General features: G+C 35.0%; 1 protein-coding gene across 6 annotated transcripts in view, besides 1 other annotated feature; it reads left to right on the top strand.

Annotated features, from left to right (window-relative positions):
• Window positions 1–18,841, top strand: part of SOX6 (SRY-box transcription factor 6) — a 772,029-nt gene that overhangs the window by 631,863 nt on the left and 121,325 nt on the right. For 3 of the 6 annotated variants that reach the window (NM_033326.3, NM_001145819.2, NM_001367873.1), the window contains exons 8-9: window positions 8,927–9,006; window positions 10,497–10,619. In NM_033326.3, coding sequence (NP_201583.2) covers window positions 8,927–9,006; window positions 10,497–10,619 — 203 coding nt within the window. The remainder of the gene's footprint in view (window positions 1–8,926; window positions 9,007–10,496; window positions 10,620–18,841) is intronic. The other 3 variants (NM_001367872.1, NM_001145811.2, NM_017508.3) reach the window with 1 other exon arrangement.
• Window positions 7,486–7,686: a silencer, noted in NCBI's record as "peak1213 fragment used in MPRA reporter construct". NCBI's record gives its function as "represses an SCP1 promoter by STARR-seq MPRAs in K562 erythroleukemia cells {active_cell/tissue: K562}" and the evidence as "EXISTENCE:reporter gene assay evidence [ECO:0000049][PMID:32103011]".

The following is an 18,841-nucleotide window of genomic DNA, read 5'->3' as shown; positions in this document are numbered from 1 at the left end:
TTTATGTCTTTGATCCATTTGAGTTGATTTTTGTATACTGTGTAAGGTAAAACCTTTTTCTATTGTTTTACATCTTTTGCACATGGATGTCCAGTTTTCCCCACAACATTTGTTGATAAGACTATCCCTTCCCCCATTCAATGGTTTTTGCACCTTTGTCAAAAATCAATCAACTATATATGTAAAGGTTTTAATTTTGAGCTTTCTATTATATTTAATTGGTAGATATGTATATATATATACACACACACATATGTATATATATATATATGTCTCCTTATGCCAGTACCATCCTGTTTTAATTGCTGTAGCTTTGTGTTAAAATTTGAACTATGAGCTTTCCAACTTTATTCGTCTTTTTCAAGATTGTTTTAGTTATTGGGACCTCTTGTAATTCCATATTAATTTGTGAATTGGCTTTTCCATTTCTGTGAAATAGGTTGTTGTAATTTTGATAGGGATTGCTTTGACTCTGCAGGTTGCTTTGGGTAGTATTGCCATCTTAACAGTGTTAAATCTTCCTACCCATGAGCACAGATGCTTTTCCATTTATTTATGTCATCTTTAATTTCTTTCAAAAACGTTTTATAGTTTTCAACATACAAGTCTTTCATCTCCTTGGTTAGATTTATCCCTAAGTGTTTAGTTCTTTTTAATACTTTCGTAAATGAAATTGTTTTCTTAATTTTCTTTTGGGTTGTTCGTTGCTGATGTTTAGAAACACAGCTGATACTTGCGTGTTAAGCTTATACTCTGCAACTTTGCTGAATTTATTAATTCTAGTAGCTTTCTCAGGGACTCTTTGGGATTTTCTATATATAGGATTATGTCATTTGCAAATACAAATAGTTTTACCTCTCCCTTACCAATTTGATACATTTTATTTCTTTTTCTTGTCTAATAGCAGTGGCTAGCACTTCCACTACAAGACTGAATAGCAGCAGTGAAAGTGAACATTATTGTCTTGTTCTCGATCTTAAGGGGAAAGCTTTCAGTCTTTCACCATTGAATATGAAGTTAGCTGTGGATGTTTGTTTGTTTGTTTAACAAACAGGGTCTAGCTCTGTTGTCCAGGCTAGAATTAAGAGGTATGATCATAGTTCACTGTGGCCTTGAACTCCTGGCTTCAAGCAATCTTTCTACCTCAGCCTCCCAAGTAGCTGGGACTATAGGCACGTGCCACCACACTTGGCCAGCTGTAGGCTTTTTATAAATAGGTTTCATCATGCCGAGGTCTTTTTCCTCTATTACTAGTTTTCTGAGAATTTTTTATGATGGAATAATATTAGACTTTTGTCAGATGCCTATTCTGTGTCAATTGAGATGATCATGTTGGTTTTTTTTTCCCTTTGTTCTATTAATGTAATGCTTGACACTGATTTGATCCCTTGCATTCTTGGGATAAATTCCACTTTGCCCTGGTAAGTAATTCTTTTAATTTGCCATTGGATTTGTTTTGCTAATATTTTGTTGAAGATTTTTATATCTATATTTATATGGGATAGTGGACTGTAGCTTTCTTTTCCTGTGATATCTTTATCTGGTTTTGGTATCAAGATAATGTTAGCCTTATAAAATGAATTAGAAGTACTCCCTCCCCTTCATTTTTTTTTTGTAAGAGTTTGAAAAGGATTGGTATTAATTCTTCTTTAAACATTTGGCAGAATCCGTTGGTAAAGCCATCTAGGCCAGAGCTTTTCCTTACTGGGAGGTCTTTGATCATTGATTCATTGTCTTTACTTGTTATGGGTCTGTTGAGGTTTTCTATTTCTTCTTGAGTTGGGTAATATTCATGTTTTAAGGAATTTGTCCATTTCTCCTAGGTGTTGAATTGGTTAATGTACAATTGTTATGACTGCATAATTATTCAGGGCTTCTTTTTAATTTCTTTGTTTTAGTTAGCATTTATTGAGCACCATTTGTTTTCCAAGATAACCCCCAACCTGTGTATGTGTGTGTGTGTGTATGTGTGTAATCTCATTTAATAACCCCCAACCTGTGTATGTGTGTGTGTGTGTATGTGTGTAATCTCATTTAATTTTCATAATAACTCTTAGATATAAGTGGTAATAAATGGTATCATCTCTGCTTTATTAAAAGAAAATAAGAAACTGATACTCAAAAAAGTTAACTTTTCCAAGAGTTCCACATCTTGAAATAGCGGAGATAGAATTCAGACTGAAGTTCTCTGATTTGACACTTCATACTCTTGGGGCCTTGGTCTAAGTATGTGTGATCTTAAGAAAATCTGACCTTTTCTCAGTGAATAAAATGTAATTTTTACATGTGGTGTTATGCAAATGACATCTTGTAAAGCCACTCATTTCTGTCTCTTCCAGAGTATTTCAAAGCAGAGATATGAACTGCTATTGTAATAGTTGATTATTTAAATATATCTACTCAGAATCAAAGCATTTCTGAGGTTCTTCAGATTAGCACCCTAATTTTTAAATCGGTGTTGGGGTCCAGGAAGAAAATATGTTCAGCTGTGTAAACTAACCTAGTTTTTTAAAGGTCTATAATCTTAACTGTGTTCTCCTCTGTAGATGGAGGCTATATCATTGATGAGCTATCATGAAGGCATGAACTTTGAGAGTTTATTTTTTAATTTTTAATTTTTATTTGTTTTATTTTTTGAATGTCAATAGTGGTGATTTCTGAGATTTTGGTGCACCCATCACCCAAGCAGTGTACACTGTACCCAATATGTAGTCTTTTATACCTCGCTATCCCCCAACCTTTCCCCCAATCCCCAAAGTTCAATGTGTCATTCTTATGCCTTTGCATTCCTCATAGCTGAACTCTCACATGTGAGTGAGAATACGATGCTTGGTTTTCCATTTCTGAGTTACTTCACTTAGAATAATAATCTCCAATTCCAACCAGGTTGCTGTGAATGCCATTATTTCATTCCCTTTTATGGCTGAGTAGTATTCCATGGTGTATATATATATATACCACATTTTCTTTATCCATGCGTAGATTGATGAGCATTTGGGCTGTTTCCATATTTTTGCAACTGCAAATTGTGCTGCTGTAAACATGCATGTGCAAGTATCTTTTTCATGTAGTGACTTCTTTTCCTCTGGGTAGATACCTAGTAGTGGGATTGCTGGATCAAACAGTAGGTCTACTTTTAGTTCTTTAAGGACTCTTCATACTCTTTTTCATAGTGTTTGTACTAGTTTACATTCCCAACAGTGTAAAAGTGTTCCCTTTTCACCACATCCACGCCAGTATCATTATTTATTTTTTTTTTATTATGACCATTCTTGCAGGAGTGAGGTGGTATTGCCTTGTGGTTTTGATTTGCACTTCCCTGACAATTAGTGATGTTGAGCTTTTTTTTATATGATCATTGGCCATTTGTGTATCTTCCTTTGAAAATTGTCTATTCATGTCCTTTGCCCACTTTTTAATGGGATTGTTTGTTTTTTTTCTTGCGATTTGAGTTCTTTGTAGATTCTGGATATTAGTTCTTTGTTGGATGTATAGATTGCGAAGATTCTCTCCCACTCTGTGGGTTGTCTGTTAACTCTGCTGATTATTTCTTTTGTTGTGCAGAAGCTTTTTAGTTTAATTAAGTCCCATCTATTTATCTTTGCTTTTGTTGCATTTGCTTTTGGGTTCTTGGTGATGAATTCTTTGCCTAAGCCAATGTCTAGAAGGGTTTTTTCCAATGTTATCTTCTAGAATCTTTATGGTTTCAGGTCTTAGATTTAAGTCTTTGATCCATCTTGAGCTGAAGTTTTTTACAAGGTGAGAGATGAGGATCCAGATTCATTCTACGTGTGGCTTGCCAATTATTCCAGCATCATTTGTTGAATAGGGTGTCTTTCCCCATTTTATGTTTTTGTCTGCTTTGTTGAAGATCAGTTGGCTGGAAGTATTTGGCTTTATTTCTGGGTTCTCTATTCTGTTCTATTGGTCTATGTGCCTATTTTCATACCAGTACCATGCTGTTTTGGTGACTATGGCCTTATAGTATAGTTTGCAGTCAGGTAATGTGGTGCCTCCAGATTTATTCTTTTTGCTTAGTCTGTCTTTGGCTATGCAGGCTCATTTTGGTTTCATATATATTTTAGGATTCTTTTTACTAGTTCCTTGAAGAATTATAGTGGTATTTTTATGGGAATCACATTGAATTTGTAGATTGCTTTTGGCAGTATAGTCATTTTTAAAATATTGATCCTACCCAACCATGAGCATGGGATGTGTTTCCATTTGTTTATATAATCTATGATTTCTTTCAGCAGTGTTTTGTAGTTTTCTTGTAGAGGTCTTTCACATCTTTAGTTAGGTATATTCCTAAGTATTTTATTTTATTGCAGCTATTGTGAAAGGGGTTGAGTTCTTGATTTGATTCTCAGCTTGGTCACTGTTGGTGTATAGCAGAGCCACTACGTTGTGTACATTAATTTTGTATCCTGAAACTTTGCTGAATTCATTTACCAGTTCTAGGAGCTTTTTGGATTAGTCTTTAGGACTTTCTAGGTATACAATCATATCATGAGCAAACAGCGACACTTTGACTTCCTTTTTACCGATTTGGATGCCCCTATTTTCTGTCTGTTGTCTCATTGCTCTTGCTAGGACTTCCAGTACTATGTTGAATAGAAGTGGTTAAAGTGGGTATCCTTGTCTTGTTCCAGCTTTTAGGGAGAATGCTTTCAACTCTTTCTCATTCACTATAATGTTCGCTGTGGGTTTGTTGTAGATGGCTTTTATTGCTTTAAGGTATGTCCCTTCTATGCTAATTTTGCTGAGGGTTTTAATCACAAAGGGATGTTGGGATTTTGTTAAATGCTTTTTCTGCATATATTGAGATGATCATGTGAGTTTTATTTTTAATTCTGTTTATGTGGTGTATCATGTGTATTGATTTCCATATGTTAAGCCATCCCTGCATCCCTAGTATGAAACTGAGGATTTTTTAAATCAATTTTATGTAATGGGGATGAATTTATGTGAGTTCATTCACACTCACTTATTTAATTGCCATTGTGACAAATTCCACAGATTTTCGGATGATTGGTCAAGGGTTTGGATGCAGCTGTGAAATAAGTGAAGAAAGTAAGGTTGAGCCTTGATTCTTAGCTTTCTTAAAGGTAGAAAAAACACTGCAGATGATCTTAGAAGAAATTCTGAGGTCAAGACTCTTTTCATCATTGATCTATTCTTTGACGAATAGAAAGGGAGAAATTTAGCAGGAGAAATAACAACATAGTGATCTCAACAATATATATTATAATCCTTGCTAATTTTATTTTTCATTTGTCCTCAGGACAAATTGAAGCTTTTGTGTCACCTATTACCTGCTAACATTTACTACAGTGTGGTTTCGCATAAAGACAAATTCAGACTTATGGCATTCCCTCAGAGTGTAGAGGAATTGTAATATTTTGCTGTACCAAATGCGTGCATCCAGGCAAGATCCATGCTAAGTGGTATGTTCAAGTTTGCATCAGTGGTTGTGATTCAAATATGTTCATATTGTAACAAGAATGGCTATAGCTCATAAAGGTGGGCTCTATAGTTGTTTGGCAACTTATTATCATTTTATGATGCTGGCACACAATAATTTTTGAGTTAGTTAGGGATGTGTAACATATTTTTCTTCTGTTATGGAGGCTGGGAAATGAGGTATGCGACTGAAGAATCTTTTGTCCCGTCTTCTAGTTCTGTTTTATTTTTTTTCTCTCTCTACTCCTTCCAAACTTTCTAAATTATTTCTTCAATGTGTTAACATCTGAAGTTACTATCTCAGGATACTGCAACTATCCCAGTCCTTTGTCTTTCTGAAGAATGAAAGTAAATTGACAGACTTTTACCCATGGGATTTTTGGCTTTTTTTTTTTTTAAAAGGTAGACTTTATATCTGAATTATTCAAATTAAAAGCATTATTGCAGGAGGTAGCCTGAATCTAATGGGTTGTAGGTTCTTAGTACAAGCTCCCCTTCTCCTGCCGTTAAGTTTTACTAATTTTCTGCTTCATGTCAGTTTCTATGAAAATTTAAGAATTTATTTTCTCTCATTTAGGGACTCTTGCTGTTTTGATTCCAAAGGAATGCTGCCTATTCTGACAAGTGAAACTAATGTCAAGCAAATTTTCCATAAGTTTTAAATCCTACTTTGTCTTTGTTTTGTACTCTTATGATAAAAACTGTCAGTTGAAATATGTAGAAAGCTGGAAAATGGATTTACAGAATGGACATTATTTCTCAAATTGGTTTTTGAAAGTTGTCTTCTTACACTAGAGGTAGCAAGGGCCAGATTACAGTAGTGCATAAAGCCAACCTGTTTCAACAAGCTTCACCTTCCATGTACAAATTTTAAAAGAATGGGTCCTCATGAAAGCATTTCAAATCCAGAGACAAATTTGAAAAAAATTGCTACAACATGTTGACTGATTCCTTGCCAAGTCAGGCACTGAGAACTTTTTCTTGATTGACTTACACAGAAAATTAGAGCAGCATAAGGGAAACATGCAACTTTGTTATTAAAAAACTAAACTTCACAATACCCTTAAATCCCTCTCCCTCTTAAATTTTTCTTTTCTACTTGTAATCTCCCTCTTCTTCTCCCTCATCTTCTACCCCTCCTGCCTTGTCCTTGTTCTCTTTCTTCTAATCATTCTCTGTTATATACTCTGTTGCTCTAATGTATTCATTTTTACTTTTAATGTTGAAACAATGATATGTTATGGAGAAATAGCTTTCTAAAGATTATATTCAGGTATACAGATTCAAAGAAGGATAAAAGTTAAAAATGTTTTTAAAATATGCCTGTCAGCAGTGGAAAGAAAGCTGTTTGTAGCCAGCAGGTGAGCTGGAAAGTACTATAGGGTGTGGTAGAGATAGTAATAAATTAACTGGCAAGCCAAAAGCTGTAAAAAAAAAAAAAAAAGCTATTTCATAGCACAGAAGCATGACAGCTATGAAAAAAGGAGTGCCCCAGGGAATTCTTTTAGAGTTTGATTTTTTTAAAATATGTTTGACATGAAAAATGTTTTAGTACAAATAAAGCAACTGGTATTAAACTTACAGGGAGGGGGGTTGTGGTTTAGAGTTAGTATGAATAATGCATGATATTTAAAGAAAGAACAGCTCTAAAATGTTCCAGGAGGCAGTCCATGTCGATGGTTAGAATGGTGATTTTTTTCCCCTATTTTTGAAGCATCATTAATTCAGCATCGTTTTGTGATTTTTTTAAAACTTGATATCTACCAAAGAAATACTATTTGACTTAGATTAGGATATTCTTCCTTCAGATAATTTAGTTTAAATATCAAGAAGATCAGTAGAATTGTTTAAGCATAAAGTGACAGTCATTTACTATAAAAAATAATTTGGCCTAGTTATCTTTTTTAAAAAGCTCATATAGTACTGCAAACCAAAATCAACCTCATGGAAGGAGAAAAACAAGATCAGATATTTTGAACATTACTCCATAGGAGACCAGCACAATATAATGTTAGTGAATGCATTGTAGCAGCGCTCCATATGCAATCAGAAGCCAATTGTTACTGGACTGTGTACAAGCACACACTGTGCTCAATGGTCTGATGAGGTATTATGGATATGATGCAAAGAGACTGTGTAGATTAGAAGCTAACAATTTGTTAAAAGTGAAAGCAACTTAACATTTACATTGGGCCAGCTGAGTAGCATTTCATATGGCAAGCAGGATGAGTTCCCAGGAACCAGAGTCACCAGGAAGGCTCCAGGTATTCGTGTCCATACCCCAACTCCAAAAAAAGTTTTCTTGCTTTCCAGTTGACTGCCTTTATTACTGAGATTCTTTCTAAGCTGTCTATTCATTATTACATTCAGCTTTCAGTGTGGAAAGTTCATGCAAAACAACATGATTATTATAAATGTCAAAAATGTGTGGAGGAACAGCCTATTAAAATATAGCCTAGAGATATTACATAACGCTGACTTTAAATAAGTAGCTGAAGCCAAAGTGATACTCCATTAAATCACTGATATTGTGAAATTTATCCACACATACTAATTTTTATTTCAGTTACCTCTGTCATGATATGTTTCTCCTTACTTTGTTTTGGTTCTTCAGGTTACTGCACACAGCCTGTGTTCTTAGGTCACAGAAGGTACTTCCGTCTCCCTTTTTAGGAATGATCTGAAGTCAGAAACACATTAAGATATAGCATTCATCTCTGCTGAACCATACTCACTCTTTACCAGGTGTTTAGTACAGATATTCCATGTAAAATGCGCATTTATTTAATCAAAGCATCATTAAAATATGTTTGATAAGTGCTTAGTATGCATGATTCTGTACTAGGATCCACCAGTACAGTACCAGAGGTTAATCCAGACAAACATGGTTTCTACACTTATGGGGATACCAGACATTTCACAGAATGCTGGAAGATAAGATTAGCTGTCCTCTCAGCCCTATCATATTGAAGAGGTTGTATTTTTTAATTTTTAAACTTGTTTAATAAATAAAGTTTAGAATTATGAGCAGTCAATAGCTCAGAGCCCTTTTTGGACTCTAATACTCTTCTTTGCCTACAAAGCCAAAACTTTTTGTTGTTCTAATATAAAAGCCTTAATGCTTTCCCAGTGTACTGAGTGTCAGCCTGGCTTAAAGATATTTTTTTACTCTTAAAAAATGATGTATTACAAGATTCGCAATGGAGTGAACATGCTTGAATTGCACATTTAAGTTTTTTTAACATCACATTCATGTTTTGCCAGTTTGCCTACCAGCTATCTGTTAACAAAAAGTTCCAAGGCAGCACTGCAAGTCTGTGCCCAACTAAGCCTTTTGTTTCTGCAGATGTTTGGGCTTAGAGCAATGTTGTAAAGCTCAGGCAATCCAAGGACCATGTTTGTACTTGTCTGCTGCAATTCCCTGTGCATTGTCTAAACCTGTATGCATTGTTCTTTCCGACAGGTGATAACTACCCCGTACAGTTCATTCCATCAACAATGGCAGCTGCTGCTGCTTCTGGACTCAGCCCTTTACAGCTCCAGGTAAGTGCCAGAAGAAAAAAATGTGGGATATGAGCCAGTACTTTAGTGGAAAACTGCTAACCAGCTGTATGCTAAATAATGGCCTGAATGTTAAATAATTTTTTAAGCATAGCCCAGAAGGATTAACACCTTATTTGCTTATCGTAATGCAAATAGAAGAGAAAACTGCCAGTTTCAATATTTTTAAAGGAAAAGATCACATTAGGACTTAATACTATGTATTCTCTATCAGATGAGTGAATAGTTTTACAATTTCAATGGCTAGTTGTTACTGCATACATGTTAGCTTTTTCCTTGTTAGTTTTTCATCTGTGTCTCCACTTATGTCCAGATTAGCTTTTGCATATAAAAATTGAAACAAAAATGATGTTGGATATTTTTTCCTTCTTGTAGCTCATAGAATAAGGGGTTGTTATTTTCAAATTACATGATAATTATTTTGTAAATTGTAAATGCATTGCTCCTTAATATATGTGTCCTCACCCTTTCTAGGGTCAAAAGTCAGGGCATGGTGTCTGATAAATTTTGCATTGGTGTTTCTTATTTATAAAGCTAAACTTGGGGGGAAAGTGTTTTGGAAGCTGATTGAAAAATCATTTACACCTTATCTTCTTCACAATAAAGTGAGTTTGGAATAGGAATAGCTGATCATTATACCCTTCTACTACTACCACTTGAATGGGAGGTTGACTTTGAATATGAATGTATATTTGTATTAATAAAAACAAAAAGCTGAGATCATTAAAATAAGTCAAACATTCAGTATTTGGATATTTAGAGAATATAAGATAATCAACAACTTGACTTCAATATAGTAGAAAGTTTTATTAAAGATAGTTTTTATTCTTAAAATATACTATAATTATTTTTGAGTTTTCTTAAATTATCTACAGAATAGCATCTGGTGAAGCATTTTTATTTTTGTGTTGCTAGTCTCTATGTGACTTGAACATAAAAAGTATACAACTATTGTCCCATGAAAAAACATCATTTTGAATGTTTCCAACTGGATCTGCAAATAAAGAATTTCTGCAATACTTTGAGAAATTTTGTCATGAGTCATGATCCAGGAAGTTATAAAGATGTAACCCATTATGGGCTGCCTAGCAGAGCTAGAAATTTCGCCTAAGAAGAGCAGCAACCTCACCTCTCTTGCAAACCTTCACCTTTCACGCTACTAACACTGAAACCTACTATAGTTGGTGCAAGTCTAAAAAGAACCCTCACTATTATAAACCTAATATATTTCTTCTCTTCCTATAGCTGTGCTATTGAGTATCTTCTTGAGTCAGAGGCAGAAACAAGAAATCAGTGCCACTGTTTGATACTGTAACCAAATTTCTGTAAAAGAAAGAAACTGAGTCTTAAACTTTCTACTTTCTATTTTTTGATGTGGTCAATACCCTGGATTTAGAAATATGTATTCTGTTTCATGAGTTCTGACAGTATGTTTTGTCTTTTTTTTTTTTTCTGAATATGCTACTAAACAGAAGGGTCATGTCTCCCACCCACAAATTAACCAAAGGCTAAAGGGCCTAAGTGACCGTTTTGGCAGGAATTTGGACACCTTTGAACATGGTGGTGGCCACTCTTACAACCACAAACAGATTGAGGTATGAATGCTTCCATTGATGCTTCATTGGGTTGGGGACTGGATTGTTCAGTCATACTCTAGGCTTTTTTTTTTTTTTTTTAAAGTGGCAAACACTCAACCTAAACACTGAACTTAATCTTTCCCTTTTTCTCATTCCTAAGGAGGCTCTTCTTTTGCCCCTTTTCTTTCAGAGAAAAAAGCAAATCCCAAAGCAATGCCCCTGAATTAAGGTTGTTCTTTGCCATATATATTCACACAAAAGCTTTACATTATAAGTGTCTTCAAAACCATGTTTCTTCCCTCACTCTTTTATATTTTCTTATGCATAGTGTTGTATAGTATTTTTTAAAAAATACTTAAACATTAAAAAATTATTTGACCATAGAATAACCCTGTAAATTTGATCAAATATAATTCTGCTTGTATAGATAAAACAGCTGAGGTTTGGAGAGGTTAAGTTATTTAACCAAGGCTATAAAATATTCGTTGAGTCAAGGTTATTGCCCAGGATTTCTAATTCTACGTACTCAGTTTTCTCAGAATGAAGTAGGGGTGGGTGCCTGGGCCTGGATGATTGCTTTTTCCAAGACAAACTTCTGTAGTATTCTTTTCATATTTCACCTTCCAGTAGAGTCCTTTGTTGTTTTGTTGGGATATTCTTACCACTGAGAGAAGATGGCTTATGAAAACCAAGACCTTTTCTTCTATAAGAACCCAGTCCTTCTCTCTCCAATTTCATGCTTAATTCCTTTTCTGCCTCACCGGGGTCCCTCACTGGGACTCTCATATTGGAGAATTTCCAGCTATCTGTTGAATTTTTTAAAAAGTGGATACAGTTTACCTCAAACTGAAACACACTTTAATTCTCTGGGTTAGATATAATAGCAGATTTTATAGTCCAACCTAGGATGGGAAACTCAACCCAAAAATGAAAATAATTGCATCTAGCAAGATGTACATTTAACTTCTGATGGCTCTGCTGGTCTGTATAGCTCAAACACTATGTAGTCAATGAAAGGTCCCTTTGACGTTACCTTTTCTGCTGCTTGTGAATCTACCTTTTTGGAAAATGATAGGGAATGATCACTCCTAAGAAAAGGAAGAGACAAGACCAAAGACCCCCTTGGAAGTAGCCTAAGGTAGAATTCCAGAGCTTGTTAACTGCCTCCCTCTTTTCTTTTGCTTTGACATAAGAGGTAGAGAGGGGGTTTCCACTCAGACATGATTAGACACATACTTTCAGAATATCTCCTGCCTTCTATACAGACAGAAGAAATTTCTAAGGCTTTCTTTTGGCTGTAGAGTGAGTACCACATTTCTGGGCATTCTGAAAATCTATGCCTAGGAGAGCTAGAAAGAAATGACTGGACATTAGGAACAAGTTTATATGTGTGATGACAACTAGCAAGCTTATCTACTCAGGACAGTCAGCTTGAGAGCTTTTAAATGCCTGGAAGAATGAGAAATTAGGTAGCCTTGGCTCAAACTCAAGACTTCCTCTCCTGCTGGACTTTTCTGTTTCCTCTCCTGGTGGGACTTTTCTTTCTCTCCTGTTGGACTTTCCTGTTGGACTTTTCTTTTGGATTTTCTGTTGAAGTGTTGTGTTCTATCCCATCAATCTTCCCTTAGCCAGGTTTCTACCCAGTCTCTTCTTTTGCCTAATTTTTCACTCAGATCGGCTTCTCTCCCACCCCCCACTCCCAACCCCCACACCATCACTGATCCCTGATGTGTCAAATCTGGCTTCTGTTGGGTTTCTGGAAACCATGATGTCATGCATATGAGTGTCAGAGCTCTGTAGTGCTGTAGTGATGCTGATCTAGAAGCACAGCATATGTCACGTGTCTGTCACTTTAATTAGGCTAAACAGGTAAACCATTAATGCAAGAGCCTTCATAGCTTTGCAGTTTAAATCTGGATGCTTTGATAGTTTCCTCAGTTTTTATTTACTCTTGCTCTGTTCTATTACCTCCTATTTTTGCACCTTTTTCCTGCATGTCAGGAAACCTTTGATCTGTTTGCTCATGTGGACTCTGGTTAGAAAAGATCGACCTTGTTTAAAAGATGGGTTTCCCAAACTTTCCTAGTATGAGTATAGCATGTTTATTGGGACATCTGTGAATAGCATAGTAGACACCCATATCTAAGGTGCTAGATAGTAACGTTTTAAATCTTGAGCGAGGGTAGAGGGATATTTTAATAATATCTTGGTTTATTGTTATTTAAATCTGCTTTCTTTTCTAGCTAGGGTCTTCTCCCCTCCTTTGATAAGCTAAAATGTCACAGTTATGTCAAGAAACATGATCATGATAAACTATTGCTACTTAGAAAGCATTACAATGATATTAACTGGTTTTATTTCTAAACAGAGATTCTTAGGAGGGAAAGCTTATAACACATATACTCCCCCACCCCACTGCATGCATTACTCAGAAATGGTGTTCTCTACTTCATGTTACAGTTAATTTGTCCTTCAAAGGTTGTCATTTCTAATATTAATGAGCCTGGGTAAATCTTAACAACATTTGGTATATATTAAGTATACCCTGAAATTTTATCAAGTAGAGAAAAGTTATTTAAAATTGAAAGACTCTCCTTATATTAGCATATGCCATTACTTTCTTTCTTTAAAATAAGGAAGATTCCGTAAAGACCATTTTTTAAAATACTACTGTGCTGATCTAAGGCATGGTTTTCTCTGCCTCAGGGGCACAATATTAGGAGAAAGAAGGCCAAAGAGTGCTATTTTTAGTTGAACAGTTCAGCAGATGCAGGCATGAATACTCATATATCTGAAGGTTGAGGGGTTTGAACCATTAATTTTGATAATTTATTAAACCCTGGGAACAATCAGAAACTGTAACTCTAAGGTTACAATGCTTTTGACCTTTAGAGAACAGAGAGCACTTGCTACAGTAAACAATGTATTATACTGCTGCTTATTCCAGTTCTCTCACCCGTATAAATTTCAGGACCAGTTGCCATTTGCTTTCTTCAGCTATGTTATCATTGGTCCTTAAGTAAGTCAAAAAGAATGTTAAGGAAAGGGAACCAGTATAATGAGGCAGTCATGTAAATTTAGCCTTTAAATAGTGATGATGTTAGATTGTTTCTGAAGAAATATTGTCGTGGGAACTAAGCTCTGGATGACTTTTTTTTTTTAATGAAAAAGGGACTTCAGTGTATTTATTCATTTTATATGGTTATTTTCAATATGATAGACCCTTAATTTTGTTTTGTTTTGTTTTGTTTTTAATGGGGAGTAGTGTTGCCTCATAGTTGTAGCTTATATTAAACAAAATCTGGTACCATATGCAAAGTGATCCACCTGCCTCATGCCTTCTTATTAAATGATGCATGCTTCTCTTTAGCAAATACAGCAGTTAGATATCACACAGCTTAAGCATTTCTAATTAAAATATCTCCATGTGTCAGCATATTGGTAATGTATTATTTTAATCCATTTATTTTGTTTATGAAACAGTGACATATGTTTAGATTGTGAAATATATGAGCCTTAAAAATCACTTTATTGAAGAAAATTAATTCCTACTATACTATCTCAGTAATGTGTTCACTCACCCAGTCAGTCACTGGCGGCACTGCCAGTCTTAATGTTGGGTAGACATTAAGACTTACCAGTCACATCCACATAACAGTCTTGGAAGGAAGCGTATCAGTTCTTTTTCTTAGCATCAAATAATAGGGTTATTCTTTTCTTACTATTTTTTATTACTTATTAATTCAAACCTGTCCCCCCCAAAACACTTTTGTTGCCTTTTTAAAAAAATACAATGAAGGATGGGGCTCAGTATATGTATAAGAGATTCTGAAAGACCAATCAAAATTAAAGCAAGCCAGTTACCTTTTCAAAGTTAGACATAGTAATTTGTTTGTCAGCAGGAAGATGTTTGGGTCAGCCCTGAGATAAAGCGACTGTCAGCAGTTATTCCTCCAAGACAAGTAATTTCACTCAATGTATTACTGACAGATTGCTCACTTCTCTGAATCACCAGAAAAAAACAAACTTAATATTGTTACAGGCAGAGTTTCTGTCTTCATTAGCTTCAGAGAATGATTTTTGTCTAGCATTTAAAGTTCACTAAGCTTTAGTTGGAACATATTTTAACAGACTATTTCTTATAATGATAGTATGGATAGTAGCCTAAATGAAAGAATTGTATAAGAAAATTAAAAATGTCAATATAAATGCAATTTTCACTGTTATTTGATGGGTCTTATGTGTAGTTTAGGGGAGATTTGAGGAAAGGAATATAGTTAGAGTCTTAAAGCACTAAGAAAACCTGTCAACCATACGTTATTCTTAAATGAAACTACTGAAGTCTTGCCAAGTTTGCAAAGATGGAGGAGAACAATTGAAGTTTTTGCAAAAATGAATACAAGCACATATTTTATTTAAATGATATTGTCAATTTTTGTGCTACAAATGGAAAGTAAAGAAGTGCCCATCAGCATTGAGAATGCTGTATTTCTATTTCAGTTGCAGCCTGAGTCTTTATGATGTTGTATTTAGAGGCTCTGCACTGTCTGTTGTACCCTGTCTTCTTATTTGCAATTGTAAAGATGCCTCAGTGGTGTGGGGGAATGGGAGGGTGATGGAGTTAGCTTTGCTGGGCAGTCTTGGAAAGTTGTGATTTCTAATAGAGAAGAGGGTGGAATAAATAGATGATTAGGGTGACCTATTACTGGCTACCCAATGGAGAAAGAGGAATGAACTGACTCAAAGCTTGTTTTGAGGATGCCAGCCATGGGGCTCTGCTTTGAAGAGAATGCATGCTTTTCTCTTAATCAGCCTTCACTCACCCTTCTGACTCTTTTCTTGATTTTTAAGAGTGTGGTGGAATTTGGGAGGACCATTACAACTAGGCTTAGATGAGCTGTAGGCTAATGGAATTAACTCCATTTATGGAATTAGAACTTTGGATTAGAGTTTCCACTATAACTTTCTTGCTCTGTTGTCTTGCACTGTTACAAAATACCTCCATTTGCAGTTTTTTTCATTGTAAAATGAGCATAATATACATTCTCAGGGTTCTTATAAATGATAAATGCAATAATAAAGCATGTATTAGATTTCCACAAATGTTCCCTGAACCATCATCAGAATAGGTAAAACTTTTCAGTAACCTCAGTAAGCAGTCAATTCTACTCTAGATTTATTGTCTAAAGTACTTCTGATGGGTGGGTCTAACCTACTAGAGTATAAGTTAATTAATTCAGGGAATTTTTTGTCTCTTTTGTTTACTGTGGAATCCTTAGCATTGCCTAGCACAGTATTTGGCAAAATGGACGAATTAATGCATTTCATCTTTGGTGGACATCTGGGACCCAAGCTCCTTTGAAAACCTTTTTTTTTTCCGGAAAATATTTGGTTGAGTGCTCTGTCTATAAGAGACACTCTTTTATGTCAACAACTTTTCTAGATAGGCTTCTTAAGAAAAAGTGCAGGTATCAAGTGAATCCTAATGGAGGCTAAAGAAATATAGGTAGATTAGGGAAGGATGCCAAATATAAAGGCAATTCCTAATGCTTAGAAATCTAGCTTGCCATTGTAGTCAGTGAAGCAGAAGTTTATACCCACCCTCAAACTAAAACATTGGATAAACTGGATTTTCTTTTGGAACTTTGCTTTTTATTTGGTTTTAAAGTAATACCTGAAAGTTCAGAGAGTTGGCTCTTCTCACATAAGCTCTGTTAATCACTGTGTTTGAGTTATTTGATTGGTGGGATAGTCAGCTATACTCAAAACCAATGTAGTCCTCTATCTCTCCTGATACAAGATTTTTGTCAACAGTCATTTAGCTCTAGCCCCACTAATTAATCCACTCAATAGGCAGCTTCCAGTGTGTGAACGCATGTAATTACATTTACATAGATTTCTTGTAAGATGTGATGATTTCTAAAATAATGACAGGTATTTTTATTCCTGTTTTACCAAACTGAAGTTTTAAAATATTTTTGGTTGATATTATGTATCATATATCTGCATGTATGTATATGTTGTAATGAGCTACGTTGGAATTCTGAGAGATGATGTGATTAAGGGTACATTAGAAAGTTTGAAAGCAAAACATTCTAGCATTTTAGAAAATGCTTCACTTCTGTTTCCAACCATGGAATAAGTCAGGATATTCAACATTTAGGAAATTTATATTCAGAAAAATATATGATAAAATATTTGACCTTCCAGGTAACAGAATAGGCAGAACAGGAGAAAGACATTTTTTACGATATTTTAATTAAAAGAGATTGAGAAGCTACAGTTGGATGGTTTCTCCTCACTTCTGACCACTAGAGCTGGCACATAGCTATTACTGTTCTGCCAGTTCCTCTTTTCTGTTTTATTTGTAGAAGAGTTCATATGCTACAGGTAAACTCAGGGAAAATTTATGATGATTTAAACTCAATGTACTGATTTGAAAACATCTTGCTTTATTTTAGCTGTTCTAGATTATAAAGATTAGGATAATAACTGGATTCTCTTCTGTATCTTCCCAAGCTTAAATGGCATTAATAAAGGATTCTTTTCTCAATTATATGTAAATAAACAAGCACTAAATATGTATCAGGTGCTATGTGGGTAGTATGTGGATTTTAAAAAATCATTATATATGTTCCTACCTTTCATTCTTCTCTTATAATTGGTGACAGCAGTAGAGTCATCTTGAGTCAAATTGAGAGGAACTAATTTAACGCTTTCCCCCCGGTTTTCTAAACATGAATTATTTGATACTGATATCCATTCAATGCATATTTAACCAAGTATTTGCATTTCCATTTAATGGACTAAGAAATGGAACCAAGTTAGAGCCAAATAAATTTCCTAAGGCCTCTCTCTTCATATTCATTTGGAGAAGCAAAGATTTAAACTAGAATTCTTAATTTCCAATAAACTGCATTGAGTTCATTTCTCACTGTGTGTTTCTCTTATAGCACCAGCTACCATACCTGTAACCAACAGGCTACAGGTTGATGTTACAATGTCTATATTAACCTAGACCATAATCCTTGATGCCTTGTCAGCAATTCCCCTAGAGCTATTGACCTTGAATGGTATGAACTAAAACAAAAGTAAATAAGTGACAGATATGTATGAAAAATTTATTGCTTCAAATATATCCGTGTATTTGACTATCTCAAACTATACAAAGTGCAAGCCTACAGTGCTCATTTGAAGCCAGTTTGAAATAGAGCTGCTGTCACCCTACAAATTCCCTATCAAGTTTTCCCTCTAATTTATCTACTCATTTAAATTAAAGAAAGAATGAAGTATTACATCCTTTTAAAATTCTTCTTACTTGAAATCACATGTGGTAGCTTTGAATGTAACTGTTGGAATAACTTAACACTTATTGTATCATTAGAGTTGTGTCAAAATCTACATTTAAAGAGAGTTTATAAATGATCATGCTCAGGAAATTTGAAAAAGGCAGCATACTACATGATTCCAACTATGTGACATTCTGGAAAGGGCGCAACTATGGAGACAGTAAAAATATCAGTGGGTGCCAGGGATTTAGGATGAGGAGAGGGGTGAAAAGGCAGAGCACAGAGGATTTTTAGTGAAATATTATGTAGTGAAAATATTCTGTATGAGAGTATAATGGTAGATACATGTCATTATATATTTGTCCAAACACATAAAATGTACAACGCCAAGAGTGAACCCTAATGTAAACTCTGGACTTTAGGTGATTATGATGTGTCAATGTAGGCTCATCAATTGTAACAAATATACCACTCAGGTGGGGGCTGTTTATAATGGGGGAGACTGTACATGTATGGGAACAGGGAGTATATGGGAAATCGCTTTACTTTCCTCTTAATTTTGCTGCAAACCTAAAACTACCCTAAGAAAAGTATTTAAGAAAGTTTGCAAGCAAATTAACACAATAAATTTAATTCAATTACTCAGCAAAAAAATTTTTTAGCACGTATTATATGCCAGGTCCTGTACTAGACAGCAGTCTTCAGCTGAGGGCAACTTTCCCCACCCCCCACCCTGTCCCACAAGGGTGTGGTTGACAATGTCTAGAGGGTGAGGATGCTGCTAAACACCCTGCAAAGCACAGAACAGCCACCCACAGCAAAGAATTATACAGTCTAAAATTCCAATAGTGCGAAGATTGAGAACACCTATTTTACATAGTGGGGACGTATCAATGAATAAAACAAAGTCCCTGCCCTCTGAGAATTTTACCTTCTAGTGGGAGAAGAGAA

This window comes from Homo sapiens, chromosome 11 (assembly GCF_000001405.40).
Source record: "Homo sapiens chromosome 11, GRCh38.p14 Primary Assembly".
NCBI classification, from domain to species: Eukaryota; Metazoa; Chordata; class Mammalia; order Primates; family Hominidae; genus Homo; species Homo sapiens.
This window is presented reverse-complemented; position numbering and strand designations above follow the sequence as displayed.